This window comes from Homo sapiens, chromosome 4 (genome assembly GCF_000001405.40).
Source record: "Homo sapiens chromosome 4, GRCh38.p14 Primary Assembly".
Lineage (NCBI taxonomy): Eukaryota > Metazoa > Chordata > Mammalia > Primates > Hominidae > Homo > Homo sapiens.
In genome coordinates, this window is record NC_000004.12 from 3,108,523 (window position 1) to 3,124,523 (window position 16,001).

Consider the following 16,001-nt stretch of genomic DNA (forward strand, 5'->3'; position numbering starts at 1 on the left):
TCTGTTGAAGGCAGTCCCCTCTGTGATATCTCTGGCTGTCAGAGCTCAGATGATAGATGGTATTTTTGTACTCTTAGTTCTCATCATTTTCATGATTTCGATCACCATTTGAGTATGATGATGCTAACACTTTGTTGAACGTAGAATCCGTTAATTACTTCCTTCCTGAACCTTTGGCATTAAAAAAAATCTATTCTGCTACCTCTCTGCTCATTTATGGTTATTCAAATTTATTATCAAGAGCCTGGTACAGTGGCTTGTGCCTATAATTGTAGCTACTTGGGAGGCTGAGGTAGGAGGATTGCTTGAGGCCAGGAGTTTGAGACCAGCCTGGGCAAGATAGTGAGACCCTATCTCTAAAAAAACTGAAAAAAAATTAGCTGGACATGATGGCATGTGCCTGTGGTCCTAGCTACTCAGGAGGCTGAGACAGGAGGCTCGGTTGAGCCCAGGAGTTGGAGTTCGAGGCTACACTGAGCTGTGATTGTGCCACCACACTCCAGCATGGGTGGTAAAACAAGATGCCATTTCTTAAAAAAAAAAAATATATATATATATATTATCAATGAAATTCAGTAGTACCAACAGGATTATAAACAAAGATAGTAGTTCCCTTCCTACTTTTTCTCTTAATCCTTGTGTCTCACAGGCAAACATAACTCTTAGTATTTCTTCCAATATTTACTTTCATGTTTCTTTCTTTCTTTCTTTTTTTTTCTTTGAGATGGAGTTTTGCTCTTGTTGCCAAGGCTGGAGTGCAATGACGCAATCTTGGCTCACCACAACCTCTGTCTCCCGGGTTCAAGCGATTCTCCTGCCTCAGCCTCCTAGTAGCTGGGATTACAGGCATGCATCACCACGCTCGGCTAATTTTGTACTTTTAGTAGAGATGGGGTTTCTCCGGGTTGGTCAGGCTGGTCTCGAACTCCTGACCTCAGGTGATCCTCCCACCTCAGCCTCCCAAAGTGCTGGGATTACAGGCGTGAGCCACTGCGCCCAGCAACTTCCACATTTCTAAATAACATGCTTCTACTGCTATTTTTTTTTTCAATTTTAGACATTTTTTTACTTTCACTATAGTTCTATCAGAATTCAGTGTGTACGTTATTATGCCTAAGTAAATAGTCATGGTTGCTTACGTATTATATTTCTTTGATTGTGTTTCTTATTTGATGAGAAAGCTGTGTTTTTTGCTCTGGGTTGAAACTGGAGAGAGGACCTGGGGAGGAGGAGGAGGACAGATGAAGTTGGTGACTGTACCTTCATGGCCATAGCTGGGTTCTCAGCACCCGGGGATCTGCTGATCACCTACTCATAGGCCAGGCCCCTATCGAAGTTCTAGGTGACCCAGTGCTGGGGACGGGGGGGCCACCTGCAAGGTCTAATCATGGAGGTGGGGGCTACAGTGTTGGCTTGTGCTGGGGCCAGCATCCTTAGGAAGGCATCTTGGAGGTGGAGGAGACAGCCGCCCACTTCTTGATTGGGGCCTTCAGCAGCACCAGCTTCTTGGGCAGGCTGGTGCTGGCTTTCATCACCATGTCGTGTTCAATCTTCTTCCAGATCCTGACTTCTAGGTTCAGCTTTCCTCAGACCCTGGTTCCTTTCAGAGGCCATTGCTGCTGCCTTGCTCTTTGCTGGCTTGTGCCTTGATTATATGTCTTTGTACAACTTTTTGTTTTCCTGGAGTTAATCTTCACATCTGTTTTCTTGGAGTTAATCGTTACCTCTATATCGCTTGCTTATTATTCTTTGGCCTTTTTGTCTTCTCACACCTTCCAACTTCTTTGTAATATGTGTTTAGTACAATTTTTCATGACAGGTAGTTTACTGAATCAGTTTTTCCCCAGTGTGGTCATCCAACTTGAGTTATCCAGCTCTCTGCCCCAGTCTGGGCAGGTTGATCTTCAGGTCTGTAGTACACTTGTATCCTAGGACTTCTCTTTGCCATTAGCCTGGAATTTCCTTTGCAGTTCTCCCGTTGGATGCCCAGTTCCTAGATGCCATATGTTTTTCTATCGTCTAGTAGCTTCCTGAGAGAAGATGAATGGGAGGGAAATTGTATGAGGTTTTGCATTCATAAAAATGCCATTTTTTTTCCTGTACACTTGGCTGGGTATGGTGTTCTGGGGTAGAAATCATTTTCCCTCAGAAATGCAAAGTCTTTGCCCTGTTGTCTTAAAATCTCCAACGTGACCCGATTCCTTAACCTATGAATGTACTTTTCTTTGGAAGCTTTCCATTTTTGGGGAGGTGAAGTGCTAGGTACTTAGTAGGCCTTTTAATTTGGAAACTTACATCCCTTCAGTTCTGGGAAAATTTTCTTAACATTTCTCTGAGAAGTTCTTGCCTTTTATTTTCTGTGTTCTCTCCTGAAATTGGTTAGTTGGATGTTGGTCCTCCTAGATTGACTCACATCTTACCTTTTTCTTTTCTTTTTCTGGTACTTTTTAGATATCCATCTCAAACTCTTCTATTCATTGTTATGTTTTTAACTTCTTTCTTTTCTTTGTCTCTTGATGGGGTCTTGCCCTGTTGCCCAGGTTGTGGTGCAGTGGTGCGATCATAGCTCACTGCAGCCTCAAATTCCTGGGCTCAAGCAGCTGTTCTGCCTCACCCTCCCAAGTAGTTGGGACTACAGGTATGCACCACCACGTCCAGCTATTTTCTTTACTTTTTTTTTTTTTTTTTTGAGATGGAGTCCTACTCTGTCGCCCAGGCTAGAGTGCGGTGGTGGGATTTTGGCTCACTTAAGCCTCTGCCTCCCAGGTTCAAGCAGTTCTCCTGCCTCAGCCTCTCAAGTAGCTGGGATTACAGGTGTGCACCACCATGCCCGGCTAATTTTTGTATTTTTAGTAGAGCCAGAGTTTCACCATGTTGGCCAGGCTGGTCTCGAACGCCTGACCTCAGGTGATCCGCCTGCCTTGGCCTCCGAAAGTGCCGGGATTACAGGCGTGAGCCCATCATTAGATCTTTAAATACCAGTATCTATAAGTCTTTTCCTCTTGAGTCAGCTAGTATCCCTGGAAGGAAATTACTCATTTTCCTGCTTGGAGGCTATAAGCTTGGCTATGTTTATCCTGCAACCGGGGACTGGAAGGGAGGGGACTGACAGTGTTGCTGGTCAGGGTGCCCTCTTACTTTTTGTTTTCTGTGTGCATCTCACGTCTGTCCTCAGCCTATGTAAACACCTCTTGAGATTATCCCTCTCAATCTTTGCCGGAGGTGGGGGAGGGGCTGCTTCCTGGGCTGCCTTGGATTGGAGGGAAGACCTCAGGTGAGTGGGTGGGAATTTGCCCAAGGAGCCATGAGACCAGCCACTATTTCACCCTCTCCATCCCTCCACTTTCAGATGTATGTGGCGCCTCCAAAGCCCGAGCTCTTCTTGGCGTCTGTGGCTTCAATAAGCTTGCTTTTTGCTGGTATCCCTCCTACCCTCCCCTGTCCCCAGCAAAGCTTGCATTTGAACTTCTTCCTACGGGCTAACAAATCAGTCAGTTATGTAGCTCTTGTTACTTTTTAGCTTCCGAAGTTTTGTTGACACCCGTAGTCTGCTAATGTCCCTGTTCTGTTCTTTCTGTTCGTGTAAATATATGCTTTATACAACTTCTTTACATGATTTTTGTGGGGTTTCTGGGTAGCAGAGCTTCACAAGTTCAATCCAGCGTGTTGGATTAGAAATCTCCCACCCTCTGGTTTATTCTTATTCTCAAAATTACCTGCCAAACACTGATACTCCCTTGTTTTTCCTTTTCCTGACAGGAAATGTACATACCATACAGGACAGAAATCATTAGTGTATCCCTTGGTGAATAACCACAAAGTGAACTTAACCCTTGTAACCGCCACCCAGGTCAAGACAGAATATTACCAAGCACTCAGAAGCCTCTCCCCTATTCCCCCGTCACTGCTCCTGCCTTCCTCCCCAAGGTCATGACTGCTGGCTTCTAATTCCAGAGTCTGTTTTTAAATTCTGTGTACATAGACCATGGATTAAGTGTTCTTTTTGTCTGGTTTATTTTGGTCGACATTAAGTTCATGAGAGTCTTCTATATTATCGTGTGTATTAGTATTCCTGTAGTTTTAGGAGCTTCATAGCATTCCATTGTAGGGATATACCACAGTTTATTCATTGTATTATCACTGGGTTGTTTCTAGTTCTTGGCTATTGCGAGCAGTGCTACTGTGACCACTCTTAGGTGTGTCTTTTGGAGTACATGTGCAGGTTTCCATCTTGCACAGCTAGAGGTGGAGTTGTTGGGTGATAGGGTGTGTGCATCTCAGCTGCAGTAGAAACTGCCAAATAGCTTTCCTTGAGTGCTTGTACCAGCTCACCCTTTTGCCACTGTGTATGGGGATTCCAGGAGCTCTGGTCCTCGCTAGCACTTGGAATTGCTGATGCTTTTACTCTTAGCCTTCCTGATGGGTGTTTTCTGGAATCACATTATGATTTTAATTTCCATTCCTTAAAGTACCCTTGGCTCTGAAGTTTAATGATTCATGCATCTCTTCCCTTTTGAAGTACTCTTACAGGTATGTTGTGCATGTGTTGAAAAGTGGCACTATCTATTCTAAAATACAGTATGCCTCCTCTGTGTTTGAACAGTTGTAGCGTGGCCTTGGGGCCTCCTGTTAGCTGGCTTGGAGAAGGGATTCTTGGGATTGTAGAGATTAGACCTGAGGAGGCCCCTTGGAGCTCTCTGACTAAATTTTATTCTTTATTATTCCAAACTATTTAAGCTCACCGTGTGCTGACTCATCATAATAATGAGTAGCTCTCATTGTGCTTGTCTATTTGGACTCATACAATGATTTTTTTTTTTTCTTTGAGACAGAGTCTTGCTCTGTTGCCTAGGCTGGAGTGCAGTGGCACAATCTCGGCTCACTGCAGCCTCCACCTCCCAGGTTCAAGTGATTCTTGTGCCTCAGCTTCTCAAGTAGCTGAGACTGCAGGTGCGTACCACCATGCCTGGCTAATGTTTGTATTTTTAGTAGAGACGGGGTTTCACCATGTTGGCCAGGTTGGTCTCAAACTCCTGACCTCAAGTGATCTGCCTTCTTCAGCCTCCCAAAGTGCTGGGATTACAGGTGTGAGCCACTGAGCTTGGCCAAAGTAGTTTTTTAAGATGTTAGTATCTTTTCTTGCAGCTAAAAAAGTTTGTCAGAGATGATTCTACTTTGTTCTCCAGGTGTTTTCTCAGGGAGAAATTGGAGGCAGTAAGCCACTGGGGGAGTCCTGTGGCTGGGGGGTGGGGTAGTCCTGTGGCTCCTTGTCAGGGAGTCCTGTGGCTGGCAAGGAGAGAAGTCCTGTGGCTGGGTTGGGAGGGAGTCCTGTGGCTGGGGTCTCATCCTGTGCCTAACAGTGTCCAGAGGTGCCGAGACCAGCTCAGTCGGGGAGACCCTAACCCAGCAGCGCTAGAGGAATTAAAGACACACACACAGAAATATAGAGGTGTGAAGTGGGAAATCAGGGGTCTCACAGCCTTTAGAGCTGAGAGCCCTGAACAGAGATTTACCCACATATTTATTAATAGCAAACCAGTCATTAGCATTGTTTCTATAGATGTTAAATTAACTAAAAGTATCCCTTATGGGAAACGAGGGGATGGGCCGAATTAAAAGAAGAGGTTGGGCTAGTTAACCGCAGCAGGAGCATGTCCTTAAGGCACAGATCGCTCATGCTATTGTTTGTGGCTTAAGAATGCCTTTAAGCGGTTTTCCACCCTGGGTGGGCCAGGTGTTCCTTGCCCTCATTCCTGTCAACCCACAACCTTCCAGTGTGGGCATTAGGGCCATTATGAACATGTTACAGTGCTTCAGAGATTTTGTTTATGGCCAGTTTTGGGGCCAGTTTATGGCCAGATTTTGGGGGGCCTGCTCCCAATACAGAGGTCTCGTGTAAATTCCCTGGGAGGCGATAAGCCTCTGAGAAACAGACTATGCTAACCACGCCATGAAAGAGAAACTTATTTATAAATCAGATGCCAGTTACTAGTTTACTGCTTATTTGCCCAGGCGTAGCTCTGACAGAGTCCCCGACTCATAGTGCTTGCTCAGTGCATGCTGAACAATGATTGGAATCAAGTCATGGCTCAGAGCATAGTTTTGAATAATGGGAAATGGATGTTCTTAAGTAACATAGTCACCAAGATAATGCGACTAGCTGGGTCACCCCTTTTCAATTTTAGGATATTTTTATCAAGATTTAAATGGCCATCATTAGAGTTATAGCACTTTCTCCTTTGGATTGTCCTAGAGGCCCATGAGAAAGTATTCCCTAATTTCTTAGGAGAACAGTTTGTGGGTAGTATGCGGTCATGTCCAGTTAAATTGCAGATATTTCCGATCGAAGATGTTCCAGTCCTGAGAACTTCGTGACATTAGCAGGACTTCTACAAGCCATCTCTTAGGGTGGGGCATTTACTGCAGTTGGCTAGTACTCTTTTCTCCTTAACTTTGTCATTTGTTGATTTTTTTTTAACTGTCCCCAAATACTGTGGGCAGAGTGTATCTAGAATTGAGGCCTCCACCATTGCGGAGAGGACATGGATGCTGAGCAGTCCCCTGAGTGAAGGTTATAAAGAAGCAAATAGACTACACATGTCTGTAAACTGCTCTTGAGTGTCCCAAATTTGGGGTACTTCAGTTCAGCTGTAGGAAAAGCCTCAAACTGTTTATACTTTGCAAGAATTGGAAACTTCTAATTCACGTTAAGTTTTATGTAATACATGATAAGCTTCATAGGAGCTTCATCTTTTATCTACTTGGACTTTTGCTTCCGTAGGTTTTGTTAAAGGCCTTCATAGCGAACCTGAAGTCAAGCTCCCCCACCATTCGGCGGACAGCGGCTGGATCAGCAGTGAGCATCTGCCAGCACTCAAGAAGGACACAATATTTCTATAGTTGGCTACTAAATGTGCTCTTAGGTAAGGTGGAGGCATATGAGTGGAAGAGTCTCCAGCATGTACTCAAGATAGACCTTTGAAATAAATAAAACCAGATGATCCCTCAGCTTCTAGACCAGGCTATTTGGCACTGGTTGATTGAATGTGAACTGCACTGGGGCTGCTGTGAGCCCGCATGGGTCTCTGTGACCCTGCAGATGCAGCCGTGCCCAGGGACTGGGCAGTGGGTGTGGGCTGGTGTGAGCCCTGTCTGCCACCCAGGGCCTGGCCCTCTGTCTGTGTCGGCCATGACTATGGTGAGTCTTGTAGGCTTGAGACTGTGCCTCGGGTTCCTGCGGGTTCTCTGTAGGTCAGTTGACAGTTTCTCCTGTTGTTTGGGTAACTGTGGAAACGAACACTGGCAAGTGCTGAAGCGAGCATGTGGACGTGCGATATGAAATAACGACCTGGCTTTCAAAGGCAGTGAGGCTCTCTGGAAAGGACCTTGCTGAGCTAGGGATGTGGGTGTGTAGCCATTCCCAGTGGGCCTCATGGCGTACTCGTTCATGATCATGTTTGTGCCATCTTGATCTCTCAGGATCTCTTCTTTTTTAACAGATTAAGCCGGGAATCTCCAAACAGTGAGTCAGATGTTAAGATGTCTTGCTTCCACCCCCACAGGCTTACTCGTTCCTGTCGAGGATGAACACTCCACTCTGCTGATTCTTGGCGTGCTGCTCACCCTGAGGTATTTGGTGCCCTTGCTGCAGCAGCAGGTCAAGGACACAAGCCTGAAAGGCAGCTTCGGAGTGACAAGGAAAGAAATGGAAGTCTCTCCTTCTGCAGAGCAGCTTGTCCAGGTAGGAGCACAGGGTTTACTCTAGGCCCTGCATGTGAATGACTGACATTCAAAGAACCGATTAATTTGGAAGAGAAGCGGCAGAACCGAGAGTTAGAGGTGTGGACTCTGGAGCTGCGCTGCTCGTTTCCAACCCTAGGTGCTGACCTCTAGCTGTCTTCCCTCTGTATGTCCCTGTCACCGTGAGTCAAATGCGGGTGATGCCTCCTCAGGTGCCGTGTTACCTAAGCCTCTCAGAGACCACTGCTACCCTGTTTCTAAAACCAGAGGTCACGATATGTGTTCATCCACCCAGTAAATACTGATTGAGCACCCACTGTGTGCTAGGCTCTGGGATAGGGGCTGGGTATACAATGGTGAGTATTTCAGCTGCAGCTTCTGCCCCGTGGAGGCTGTGGCCTAGCACACTGGTCTAGGCACGGTGGTATATGCTCACTCAAGGAGATAGGGACGTGGTCGTTTGGGGTGTCGGAACAAAATGTCGGAACTTCTCTTTCCAATGCAGAGAAACCTTGCAGTAATTCTAATGTACTGTGATTGGCAGTTGACTTCAGTTCTTTGTAGCACGCTTACTCAGGTTATTTCACTAACTATGTAACCATGCAGCCTCATTTTAAGCAATTGGATTTTTTGAACTTTACTTAAAATGTTATGTCAGGGTTTTTATTGTGCTTAATGTGTGCCATTTAGCTAAGTTTTGTAGGATACGAAATTGTAAGTGGCTTAAAATGATTCTTAATAGAATCATGAATTGAAGATAATGCTAATAATTTAAGCACTGAGTTAGGTAGTGTTTGTAAAATGCTTAGAATGCTTCCTGGCACATGTTAAGGCCATGTAAGTGCTGCGTGTTGATAAACAGCTGAGCAAAAGTGGACTCTTAAGAAAGTATTGGGGCTGAGAGTTCTGTTCCAACCAGCTGCCCTTTGGTTATTTTTCAGAATAAAAGCAGAGTCTCATGGGATATGACATTTATATTTCCTTCACAAAAAACACTGCTGAGTGTTTTGTTGAGTAAAAAGGGTGTAGCCATGGTAATAATACATTTAAAATATAGTTTATTTCATCTTTACCTTGCCTTGTTTTTTTTTTAAGCTAGCTTTTTATTGAGAATTCCACACATACAAAAGTATCAACTCATGACCAGTTATATTTCATTTATAATCCTACTTCTCCCTTTTTTTATTATTTGAAAGCAAACCCCAATTATCCTCTTATTTCATCTATAAGTATTTCAGTATCTCTATAGATGAGGACTCTTCTTTATTTTTAAAACTTTATTTTTAAAATGATGGTCAGATGCAGTGTTCATGCCTGTAATCCCAGAACTTTGGGAGGCCAAGCTGGGCGGATCACTTGAACCTGGGAGTTTGAGACCAGCCCGGGAAACATGGCGAAACCCCATGTCTTAAAGAAAAAAATCAGCCAAGTGTGGTGATGCATGCCTGTAGTCCCAGCTACTTGGGAGGCTGAGATGGGAGGGTCACATGAGCCTGGAAGATCAAGGCTGCAGTGATCCATGATTGTACCACTGCACTCCATCCTGGGTGATGGAGCAAGATTCTGTCTCAAAAAAACAAAACTGCAAAACAACGTCACAAAACAGTGCCATTGTTAGACCTGAAAATATTAAACATTTCCTACATCAAATACCCACCAACTCATTATCAATTTTTCTCTCTACTCTTTTGGAATCAGCATCTAAATAAAATTGGTCGATAAGGATTGTAAATCTCTTTGATGAACTGGTTCCCCTCCATCCCAGTTTTTTTCCCTTAGAGTTCATTTATTGAGAAACCAGATTGTTTGTCTTCTAAGTTTTCCTGTGGTCTGATATACTGCTTCCATCTCCACTGTGTAAATTAACACCTTTTTCTCTTCTCTGTATTTCCTGTAAATCAATAATTGGAGGAAAAGCCTTGTCAGATTTAGTGTATATTTTATATCTGAGTCCAGTATTTCTTATATAATATTTTAAGATAAGTGTACTCTTTTAAAAAGTATTGAAACTATATGCTCAATTTTTTTTAACTGATGCTTTTAAGAAGGCTGCTTGATCATAAAAGTTTAGAGATCATTGGTCTGATGGGAAAAGCAAATAATTACTAAACCGTTTAGCAAGGTTGAGGTGCACATGGTGGGGCCTGGAGAAGTTCAGTCATGAGCCGTCACTTATGGGCACGTGGAATCTGACCCGGCACAGAGTTGGGAGAAGACAGGAGCTTTATAGACAGAAAATGTGGTCTTTGCTAAGTCCCAGGAGTGAAAGGGTGAGACAGTGCTCACAGCACACGAGTGTGGGTGCGTAGACAGAGCAAGGGTGGGTCCTGAAAAGGCCTGCAGGCTTTCTCATAGATTAGCAAGAGTGCTGGTTACGGAGGTTTCTAACATTTGTGAACAGATCGAAACTGTGTTAAATTGGGATTGCAGTAATCCTGGAAGGACAGGGATAGAGGGTGAAGGGGAAAAAAGGGTATGGATGTGAGACTTAATTGCTGATTTTCTTAAGACCTTTCTCCAAAGTAAATAAATGATGTGGCACATTTTTGAACTGGCAAATTCTAAACTCTAGATATGATTATCTCTATAACATATCTTACTCCATCTTCTTTTGACTAAAAACTGTTCTTAATTAAATTACCATGAGACGTTCAATTCAGCAAATGTAGTTTGGCTAACCATATTTAATTAGAATTTAATATAATCCTAGGCCTGGCCAAACTATTAAGCAAGTGTGGGCAAAATATTGATAATTTTAGATATGCAGGAACTTAGTTTGCTTTCCATGTGTGCTTTTCGAAAAAGGAATAAATTGAAAAATAGAGGAAGCCCTGAAATCCAAGAAGCAAACTCTCTCACCTAGGCATGCAGTAAAAGCAATTCTAGGATGATTGCTGTTTGGCGCGTAGTTCGTATTAGAAACCATTCTTCTTGAATAAATAGTATGTTTAAGAAGCTGGGCAGAGGGAAGGCATATGCATATATTATCAACAAGGAGGGAGAAAAAGGCAATTAGTAACCATCCATAGGAGGGTCAGCAAGATTTATAAAGGAAATTTGTGATCCAAGTATGAAGCAAAATAAGGTGCAGAATAAATTTTAAGCAAGTAATAGATTAGAGTAAGAGAACCCATTTGACCATTAACCTTGGGACATTCTCTTTCAAATGACATGGAGTAGTACTGAAATCTTTCTTTCTTTCTGAGTCTAGGTTATTGTGACTGGACTCAGAAAGAAATATTTCATTATTGCAGTGAATAACATTTGTGAACATTATTGTTCATAAATTATGCAGTGAATAACATTTATGAACACGTGATGTGTAAGATACATACTGTTTATTTTTAGTTAAGTTTTTTGGCTCAACTTCTAGGCAGAGAACATTAAATGTAAATAGTGTTACCTAGGAGCATGTAAATGGAAATCTCCATAGTATGAAAGCAGTGCTGTTGCTAACAGAATTTAGGAGGGGGCAGATGAGGTGAAGGAAATGTGGGTGCTGATTTCCTTATTACATTGAGAGGAGCCAGGAGATTCTTTGTTCAAAATGGATGGCTTAAGAAGTCAAAGTATAAGCTGATTACGTAGAGCAGGTACCCAAAAATGTTTTGTGTAAGGGGCCAGATAGTAAATATTTTCAGTCTTGCAGGCCATCCCAAGTCTGTGGCAGCTACTCAACACTACCTTTGTAGCATGAAAGCAGCCACAGGCAGCCCATAAATGTGGCTCTGTTCCGGTGAAACTTTAGGTACAAAAGCAGGTGCAGGCCAGACCTGACCTGTGCACTGTGGTTTGCTGACCTGGGATTCAGGGGTATAGAAGTTACCATCAGAAGAGCTAAAAGTGAGACTTTTTACTTTATACTCTTCTACACTGTCTGATTTTGAAAAAAAGAAACATGTATTTTATAATATTAAAGATAGGGTTGGCAAATAGCAAATAAAAATACAGAATACCAGTGAAATTTGAACTTCAGATACATTATGAGTAATTTTATGGTGTAAGTATATTCCAAATCATGTGGGACATACTTACACTACAAAATTATTTGTTGTTTGTTTACAGTTTAAATTTGAGTGCCTTGTATTTTATCTGGCAACTGTAATTAAAGGGAAAAAGAATAAATTCATTATGTTCATATAATGTGATATAGCAGGGGTCCCCAACCCCCAGGCTGCAGAGTGGTACTGGTCCATGGGTCCCCAACCCCCAGGCTGCAGAGCGGTATTGGTCCATGGCCTGTTAGGAACCAGGCTGCCCAGCAGGAAGTGAGCAGCAGGTGAGCTGGCATTCCCACCTGAGCACCGCCTCCTGTCAGATCAGTGGCAGCATTAGATTCCCATAGGAGTGCAAACCCTATTGTGAACTGCACATGTGAGGGGTCTAGGTTGTGCGCTCCTTATGAGAATCTAATGCCTGATGATCTGAGGTGGAACAGTCTCGTCTTGAAACCATCCCCTGGCCCTGTGGAAAAATTGTCTCCCATGAAACCAGTCTCTGGTGCCAGAAAGGTTGGGTAGCACTGTGATATAGTATTAAAAGTGCTAATAAATATGGCATACTGCCTTTAAAATGTCTGGTAGCTCTTTCTCAGTGGCACTCATAATAGTGTTTTTTGATTTTTAAATGTGTGTCAAGCTGACTCTCCCCTCCGTGTATGCTGGGCTTTATTTTCCCTTTCCTAGTCACCAGTTTTGGGAAATAGAGATCTTCATTCTCATGCTGCTCCTCTAGTGCAAGTGCTCCATTTATTTTTAAGGAATTAATATAACAAAAAATCATGGGAATTTAGAAAACAACATGGAAGCTAATGATCACATTGGTGGAAGTGATAGGGAAATATTTAGGGGGAGAAGTTAAGGTATAAACTTTGTCAATGAAGTCCTATTAAAAACAACAAAAAAGTGAAGCTTAGGATGCATTTTATAAACTCTGACCAGAACACCTGTGTTTCTCTGTTTCTAGGTTTATGAACTGACGTTACATCATACACAGCACCAAGACCACAATGTTGTGACCGGAGCCCTGGAGCTGTTGCAGCAGCTCTTCAGAACGCCTCCACCCGAGCTTCTGCAAACCCTGACCGCAGTCGGGGGCATTGGGCAGCTCACCGCTGCTAAGGAGGAGTCTGGTGGCCGAAGCCGTAGTGGGAGTATTGTGGAACTTATAGGCAAGTTATTAGCAAGGTCTACTCTTACAATTAACTTTGCAGTAATACTAGTTACACTCTATTGATTATGGGCCTGCCCTGTGCTAAGCAGTCTGCATTCCATCTTCCTTGCCAAAACTTATAATACAAATTTCATCTTTATTTTATAAATAGGGGAGTTGGGCTGGGTGTGGTGGCTCACGCCTGTAATTTCAGCACTTTGGAAGGATCGCTTCAGCCCAGGAGTTTGAGACAACCTGGCCAAGTGAGACCCTGTCTCTACAAAAAAAAAAAAAAAAAAAAAATTAGCTGGGCATGGTGGCACATGCCTGTAGTCCCAGCTGCTTTGGAGGCTGAGGTGGTAGGATTGCTTAAGCCCAAGAGGTTGAGGCTGCAGTGAATCTTGATGGCAGCTGCACTGAGCCTGGTGACAGAGCAAGATGCTGTCTCAAAATAAATTTAAAAATAAAATAAGAGAATTAAAGTTTAGCAGGTTGGGTGGCAAAATGAGGCCACACATTTAAAGCCCCTCCTCCTGATTCTTTTCTCTGCCTTGGCTGCCTCCTGTGGCATTTTAGGTGCTGAGAAATGAAAACAGTAGGGAAAATAGTTCCAGGATCCTCATGTTAATTTGCCAGAAATGGCATCTTCAAGTCGTCAGAGGGATCTGAGAGTTCCTTCCTGGCCTGACTTGAGAAAATCCGTCTGTCCCCAGCTCTGCGTCTGCCTCCACTGCCCAGTCACCTCCTCTCCATGCTCTTGGGGCTGGGCCCTACCCCACCATGCAGTGCTGCCCTGGAGCAGTGAGCTTGGTGGGTCCTGTCTGGCATGAGAGCTGCCTTTGGGAGCTGGATCCCAGCCTCTACCACTGGGTCTGGTGCCTAGCAGGCTATGGATAAACTTCTGCTGACTCCGGCCTCTCCTAAGCCACTGCAACGTGGTCGGTGTAGTGCACAGTGTGTGTGCAGCGTGGCCTTACTCACAGCCTCCACATTAGAGAGAATCTGACTGAAGTCTTACTGCTGCCTCGTGTGAACATAAATGTTTGCCAGAACCATGAGCAGGAAATGTTAATCTGCCTTGTTTCCTGTCCTTTACACGGAAGAATTTTTTTCTGTATGGAATGCGTGCCTTACAAATAATGAGTGGAAATACCCATCGCTAATGAAAAGTTATACTTGACTGTTAGTCAGCTAAATAATCTGAGATTTCTAATACTTTTAATTTGGCTTTTACAATGCAATTTATCTTAGCTTTTTTGATTTCTTAGGTCATATCTTTAGAACTATATATTTGAATGTTAATGTAATTTTCATATTGAAATTAAAATGTTGAACTGCGATGTTAAGTGTTTCCTGTGGAAAAACGTTCACATTTTCTCTAGTTTTAAAGTTGAATCAAGCTGTTTGAAGATTTTCACATTTCTTCTAGATTTTATCAGCTTGTTACTTTATCTGTCACTTTCTGTGATTTGCAGCTGGAGGGGGTTCCTCATGCAGCCCTGTCCTTTCAAGAAAACAAAAAGGTGATTATTTCAGAAATCAGAGTCTTGTGTTGAATCTTACTGATTTTCTTGTATTTCTGTAATGTAATGTATCTTGTATTTCTTGTAATACTGTATTGGACTCTGTGTATATCTCTTCTCAGATGAGTGATTATATGTGTGAATGTTGCTGGAATCTGATAACCAGGCCTGAATAGTTTTGTAGGGTGGCTTTTAAAAATTACTTTCATATCAGAATTGCTTTGTCATAAATTTTGAACGCATCATAAATTTCTAATGTTCGGGGTCAGCAGACTTTTTTTGTAAAGGGACAGAGTGTAAACATCTTAGCTTTATGGGCCATATGGTCTCTTTTGCAACATTCAGCTCTGCCCTGTGACAGGAATGCAGTTGTAAAGACATGAGCTACTGGCCAGCTATGTTCCAGTAGAACTTTACTTACAGAAACAGACAGGCTGTAGTTTGCCAATACCTGCCTTAGGGAATGTGTTGTTATATTTTGTGAGTTACCTTCTCAGTAAATTTTATTTAGTATTAGTCAGGAATATTATTAAGTAGCTTCTTTTCCAGCCTGGTCAACATAGTGAGACCCGGTCTCTACCAAAACAAAACAAAACAAAAAAACAGCCACGCATGTGGCATGTGCCTGTAGCCTCAGCTGCTGCTCAGGGGGCTGAGGCAAGAGGATTGTTTGAGCCCAGGAGTTTGAGGTCACAGTGAGCTGTAGTCATGCCACTGCACTCCAGCCTAGGCAACAGAATGAGACCTTGTGTCTTAAAAAAAAAAAGTTTCCTTTGTTGGGTTATTTTAATTTGGACCTGGTTATCATTTTTCAGCCATATTTAACTTTGTACATATCAGAATGTTCTGATAAAACTTAACTTTTATTAAAGTGTTTGTGATATAATCTGCTAGTTTTGGTACACATTATCTTTTGCAATGCCAGTTATTTTCTTTTCCAGTGTGGGTTTGCATAGGAAAAGAATTGCTGTCACTTTCTATTTTGAAATCTTAAAAGACTGATCCTTTTTTGTGTCATGATTTGAGTATTTAATTGAGAGCCTAATGCCTAATATTATTTGCAGTATTAAATGGGATCTTAACAGGAATAGCATTCTAGCCTTCATTGAATTAAGTAAACATTTCTTAAGAGAACTTGGAATCTATAATATTTGCGTCATCATAGTATGAGATACTTAATCAAGTTTGAGATTTTAGTGAAACATTGTTTAGAAGCCAAAAGGATTCTAGGAAAAATTAATGTCTATATTCTTGAATTAGGAGAGATTTTGGGACGTGTGACTAAGTTACGCTGACACTTGTTTGTTTCTTAGTCGCTTTTTCCAGTGGCGGTGAGAACGAAGATGACTGATTCACATTGCTCAGATGAGTTTATCCTCTTCTGGCTGGGACATGGGATATATCCTGTCTCTTTTAAGCCTTTTTGGTATTTTTCCCCCATTGAGAGCTGTGTCTTCAAACTCTTCTGTTATAGCTGGAAAATCCTTTTTAAGTGAAATCTGCCCAAATTATAAGACAGATGAAGGTAGAGTTGTGTTGGATATAGGATTAGGGTGAAAGTAGTGGGGGTGTCCTGGAGCCTCTCTT

The 16,001-nt window shown here is 42.7% G+C and overlaps 1 protein-coding gene across 2 annotated transcripts in view; it reads left to right on the forward strand.

Moving 5' to 3' along the window:
- HTT (huntingtin) overlaps positions 1 to 16,001 on the forward strand; it is a 169,280-nt gene that overhangs the window by 33,842 nt on the left and 119,437 nt on the right. For both annotated transcript variants that reach the window (NM_002111.8, NM_001388492.1), the window contains 4 exon segments: positions 6,782 to 6,923; positions 7,563 to 7,741; positions 12,706 to 12,910; positions 14,367 to 14,414. In NM_002111.8, the coding sequence (NP_002102.4) occupies positions 6,782 to 6,923; positions 7,563 to 7,741; positions 12,706 to 12,910; positions 14,367 to 14,414 (574 nt within the window).